Source organism: Homo sapiens, chromosome 18 (assembly GCF_000001405.40).
Source record: "Homo sapiens chromosome 18, GRCh38.p14 Primary Assembly".
NCBI classification, from domain to species: Eukaryota; Metazoa; Chordata; class Mammalia; order Primates; family Hominidae; genus Homo; species Homo sapiens.
In genome coordinates this window covers 37581364-37587363 of record NC_000018.10, presented here as the reverse complement: position 1 = coordinate 37587363, position 6000 = coordinate 37581364, and the positions used below count along the sequence as shown (strand labels likewise).

The following is a 6000-nucleotide window of genomic DNA, read 5'->3' as shown; positions in this document are numbered from 1 at the left end:
AACCTCCCCATCCCCTGAGACCCAGCACTGCCCTTGAGACAGTATCCCAAGCTTCCAAAGGCAAAGGCCGAGACTTCTGCTTCTCCCATCTACCCATAGAACCTAGGACGGAGCAGGCTGCACACTAGGCCCTCAGGGATAAAACCTAAGAGAGTTTCTCCAGTCTGCCAAATACAGTCCAGAGAGGGGCAGCCCACAGAGGAAGGGGCGGGTGAGGGTCTGCCCAGAGGGCTGGACACACCCCTGCCTGCAGGTTGGAATGTAGCAAATGCCTATCTAGGGCCCCTTAAACTCAAATGCTGGCATTTCACACTTGATCCTCTACCAAAAAGAATGTTATTGTGAAGAAAATAAAGTCAGCAGAACAAAAGGACACTCTACGGATAAGCTATTCTAGCTGGCAACCATTCCTGTGTCCTGTCCCGTGCGGGGCATCTCAGGGAAGACAGGAAGTGAGAAGTCCCTGCCTTTTGGAAGCTGATAGGGCAGTGCGGGAAGTCACTGTGCTCGTGGACATGAATTAACAGTGACTCATATGTGTTCTCAGACCCTTAGATGCTCTTGGGGCTCCCAGTTCTGATCTCTGCAATATGTGAGGCCACAGACAGCAAGAAAGGCCATCACCAAGGGTTTGATCCCAGGCCTGGGCCTCCAAGAATGAGCAGGCCAGGCTGGGGTGCAGGATGGGGCGCGTGGGGGCAGTTGGGCATCACAGGCAGAGGCAACCAAGAGCTGCAGGCTCAAAGGAGTCCTGTTGGAAATGAGACAGAAGAGATGGCCCTACCAGGGCAAAGGGTTTGAAATAGGAAAGAGAGAACTGCCCCTGGAGGGTCACATCACGTGGGCCCTTGAGTGCCATGAGGAAGAAGCTGGCCTGTTCAGTCCTCAGCAGTAAATATAACATCAGTGATTTCCCCCATAGTCCTTTGGTATTAAGTGCAAATGAAAAGGAACATAAGCCAGATGGAGAATGAAACAAAAAAGTGAAAAACAAAGACCTATCCTTAGTCCCAGACGGCAGCTAAAGTCCTGTGTTGGACCAAAAGCCCTTGCAAATGGTCCCAGGGCAGGTGTAGTCTGCCCTAAGTCACTAGCGCAGTTCTGGAAGCTGGCAGGGCTCTGATGCCTGAAAGGTGCCTCCACATTCATTTCTTCAAGCCCTTCTCAGACGGCCATGCTGAAGCCAGCTCCTACCATCACACTGGAGTAGCGCCAGTGCTGGGGGCACCAGTCAGAAGCACTGGCCTCTCAAGAGCCTCAGGTAGGTGGAGGATGTGGGAATGGACTGTTCAGGTCTCCTCGGGCAGCTGTTTAACAGCTGTCCTGCCGCCCTCTGCCAAGGGTAGGAGATGGGGCACAGGTGATACCCTGAACTGATGAAGCCAGACACTCTTTGACACTGAATACCCCTCTCCAAAAAAAAAAAAAAGATTCAAGAAGATTAAGATATTGATTAGAAATCTAGTAAAATAAAAGAAGTTATTCATTTTTCATCTTAGTGTCACACCAGGAAATACAATGCAGAGCTTGTGGGTAAAGACCAATCATAGAAGAAAGTGGTGATGATCTGGGAGTGATTTGAGGAACACATGGATGGCCCATTAAAACATGTCCCCAGTCCACCCGCTCCAGTGCCTTTTTCCTACTTTTTCCACTATTAGACTCCTTGCTGATACACAAATGCCCCATTAGAAACTCCACAGTCTGGTTTTACTGAGCCACTTGCAGTTTCCCCAACACACTGTGTGCCAGTCGCCCCTTTGGTCAGAACACCTCCTTCCCTCATGTGCCAGGTGCTCTTGCTCCTTCCCAACTCATCTCAAACCTAGCACGCTCAAAGCTAGTCTGCTCCCACAGCAGGGCACCCAGCCCTCTGATGGCCTGTCTCATTGTTCTGTGATTATCTATGTAAATGCCTGTACTTCCCCTCCCTTCATAGGAATTCTCCGAGGACAGAGGCCATGTTTTATTTTGCCTCCTAGGTCTTTATAGAGTGCATCTAATGAATTAGTCCTAATAGAAATGTGAGCACCTTCACCTACGGGTATTCCCTCTGTGGCAGTTGTCAAAATGGGCAGGATTTGATGCCAGAGAACATCAGGAACAGGACAGGAATGCATGCTTTGGGAGAATATATGTGCTTCTTTATCACATTAGCGAGGCAGGTGGCCAGGCACAGGATGCAGTAGCAAGGGCTTAGGAAAGGTAAGGTAGGATACCCACATTAAGAATCCCTCCCACCCTGCCCTCACACACCTGAAGAAGTAATAAGAATAATAAGAGTTAAGAGTCTATCTGATATTGACTGTCCACCTGGGTGCTTCCTGTGCCTCAGATGCTACACTAAACATGTGGCATGTATGATCTCAGTTAATCCATAAACAAAGCCGGAGGTCGATTATGCTCATCCCAGCTCCACAAGTATGAACCCGGAGGCTCAGAGCAGACAGGTAACTTGCTGAAGGTCATGTAGCTGGCAGGTGGAAGAGCTAGGATTCAAACCCCTTCCTCTCAACTCTGGTGCTGTGGACTAAGAGATCAGGCTGAAAGTGTGGGCCCCATTTGGTGGAAAAACACATTTACATACATTCACACTATCTCCCTCAAATCCTTTAGACCACAGGAAGGCATTAAATAGCAACTGATAAATAAATAAGGATCTTAATAAATTCATATCCACTCACACCTGCCTAAAGTCAATCCTCCCCCTGAGCTAGAGTCTCCCTGGGTGGTGGGAGATGCAGAAGCCAGACTCCCCAAATTGTTGACATTATGTAAGAGAAGGTGATGGGAGAGGGAGAGGAGAAGGAGAGGCTCTCAGGACAAACCACCTGTGAAGGCATCTCCCAGTCTTGCATGATCTGAGACTCTCTCTTCACATAGCCCCTCTGCCACCCGCCATTACTGTTGAGGTTCATGACCCTGCAACCTGCCCTCCCACCCACCCAATTACCTGTGATTCCCTCCCAAAGATTCCCTCTACCCCAGCCCTTCCATGCCAATATGGCCTTCTTACCAATGTCAGCCTGGCCTTCCTGAAGCACAGCTCAGAGCATGTCCTGTCCCTGCTCCCACGCGTTCAGGGAGTTCCTTTGGCTTCTGATTGAAATCTAAAATCCTCAGCTTAATTCAAGGACTTTCACACTCAGCCTCCAACCAACCAACCAGATTTGTCCCCAACTATTGGCTCAGACACCTCAGGCTTCAGCTTCAGGTTGAAAACACGACTCACTCAACCCTAAATGAGCGTTGCCCTCTCTGCTCTCCTGTTTCTTGCTCTTTCTCTCTGCCCAGAATGCCACTGTCCTCTTTCAGACTGCCAGCAAACATTTGTGGAATTAGGAATTCCTAATTCCTAATTAGAATTAGGCACGGACACCTCCTAGGAATTAGGCACAGTCCTGGCTTGTAAGATCAAACTTCTCCTTCAACACTTTATCCAGATGTGGACTCCTGCAGGAGGTCTTCATCGATCTCCTGATGAGAAGAAACTTCATCCTTCTCTATGTGCCCAAATATGTATTTCCATGTTTGGCCTTAAATCACAGGCATGCATCTGCCTTGCCCAGCACTGGCAGCTCCTTGGGGCAGGGAGGATGGCATAGATGGCTGGTAGCCCATCATTGATCATAGTGAGCTCCAATCAAGTCTGTACTAGACTGATGGACAGTTATGGAGTTCCTGGATTATCATTTCCTGCTGACAGGTAAACCACAACAAAGAAAGTGTGTTATCAAAACAATTATCAAAATACTAAGGAATGAATTCTCTGAAGCATCTAATTATTGCAAAAACTAAATCACCCAGTCTCCTAAATAATTTTGATTTACCTAACATTTTCATACTGCATACCTACACAATTAGATAAACCATATAAATCCATAACACTTTGTGCTGTCAGACAAGGATGATATAAGTCATAAGAAAGAGGATTCATTCCCTCCTGGGTTTAAATTCTAACCTATAATGTTAAAAATAAAAGTGGATGTCAGGCTTAAGACCCATTCACTCAGTCAGCAAGTTGGAAGTGTTTCTTAAATTCTGGCTGCATGAAGTCTTGTAGTTGGGCTATAAAGTAAATGGACTCAGTTTCTCCCTCCCAGTATTTCTACTCTCTTCAGGAATACAAGACTTACTCACATGAAAGAGCAAAGCTAAGCAATACCTAAGCAAGAGACGGGTAATGTAAATTATTGACATGAATGTTGAAAAAACATAAAAGTAAAAGAAAAATCCAAACAAGTTGCGGATCATCAGAAAAGATGCATTTGAACAACATTTCTTTCTCTGTAGAGAATACTTTTCAAGCTTCAGAAAAGTCCTGCATTAGCCGTCTTAGAGTGTCAGGTCCAGGTGGTTCTCAGGGAGGGAGGAGATTCAGCATTAGGGCACCCAATCCTTTAGGTCTTTCATTTCCTCATGTATTCCCCAATTCATCAAATATTTATTGAGTGCTTACCATGTGCCAGGCCCCTGTGTAAGTGCCCAAACACAGTGGTAAGTGAGAGTGACATGGTCCTTATGAACTAGCAGGGTCTAGAATCTACTACATGAGAGGGTCTCTTTTACATTCAAGGAAGGTTGATATTCAAGTGACTTGAATGACTAGACACAGAATGGATGATGATGGGGATGGAGGGAAAATGGTGCAGAAGCAGGATGAAGGGCAGGAGGAAACCTTACTGAGAAAAAATACCAGTCATCATTTACAGCATTCCAAGGTTGAAAAGTCTAAGATGAGGGTGGTGTAGTGGGAATCGTGTATGACAGTCATGGGCAAGAAGAAAGGAAGGAGCTCTTGTCCAAGAAAGGGAGGCACACAGGGTTCTGCATCAGGGTCAACCCTCTCCCCCACCCTCAAGCTGAGACTTGGCACTGCTGCCATGGAAAGCAGAGCCAAGAAGTGAAAAAACAATGAAATGGGCCTGCCATCAATGAGGAAGCATCGTGCAATGCCAGCACTTGATTTGGAAAGTATTCATAAGGCTTTCTTGGCTAGGATATTTAAGACAAAAATAGAAATATTCTCATCAATGATTTATAAGATTGCTTTAGAAAGATGGGGCAGAACCCAGTATAACAAAGAGCAAAAAAAACACACTCCCACTTGTCACTGTGCTGGAGAGCATGGGTCAGGGGAGACAGAGCCATAAGAGGGTGCTTTTTGTTCCTGTCACAGAAATTAGAGCTGGGAAAAGCTACCAATTTTGCCAGTCTGAGCCTCAGAACCACAGCCACTTTTTGGACTCTTCCTACTGCAATTTTATTCTTCCCTGGGGTTGAAACCTCCAGATAAGATATCTGAAAGTTGCATCTGTATTGTAGAGACTAGCAATAATACTAACAAATTAGCAGGCAATTAGATAGGAACATTAGAAAGCATCCTTTTCTGGATATAGCCCTTGAAGGAGAAGATGAGGACCAAGAAATGAAATAAGAACAGATTTAGAAAAAACAGAAAATGGGGAGAAAAAAAAACAGAAAATGGGGAGAGAAAAATATGCTTCTCACAATAAGGTAAGGTCATTTCACAGCTATGGGCTGAGTTTATTATAAGCCCATTCCTGGACTCATTTCATTTTCATTTATGCACACATTGACTGCATCATCTAGACTCTCCACTGGAAGCAGATGGGATAGGAATGGAAAAGGTATCTCACACCTGTACTGTTGCCAGCACCCCAGTTCCCAATACCACCTGCCTCCATCCAAACCTACATGAAGCTCCCCAGCCAATCTTCCTAAACCCAAAATTTGATCAAGTCATCATCATATTGGGGACAACCTTCAGCACTCTATTGCTCACAGGATCAAGATCCTACTCAGGCTGACATTTGAGGCTCTCCAGCCACCCAGACAGACAATGAGTATTTCTTGTACACACAGGGAGCCAAGCCTGAAGATACAGAACTGAACAAGAAAGCCATAGTTGTGCCCTCATGAGCCTTACAATCTACTGGGGTGGGAGGAGGTGAGCAAGTAATTAATTAAACAATTGCT

At 46.0% G+C, this 6000-nt stretch overlaps 1 annotated feature.

The window, feature by feature from the left end:
• Positions 1655 to 2156: an enhancer, noted in NCBI's record as "OCT4-NANOG-H3K4me1 hESC enhancer chr18:35165171-35165672 (GRCh37/hg19 assembly coordinates)". NCBI's record gives its function as "activates a minimal SCP1, AML or CMV promoter by ChIP-STARR-seq in naive and primed H9 embryonic stem cells {active_cell/tissue: H9 hESC(naive and primed)}" and the evidence as "EXISTENCE:reporter gene assay evidence [ECO:0000049][PMID:30033119]".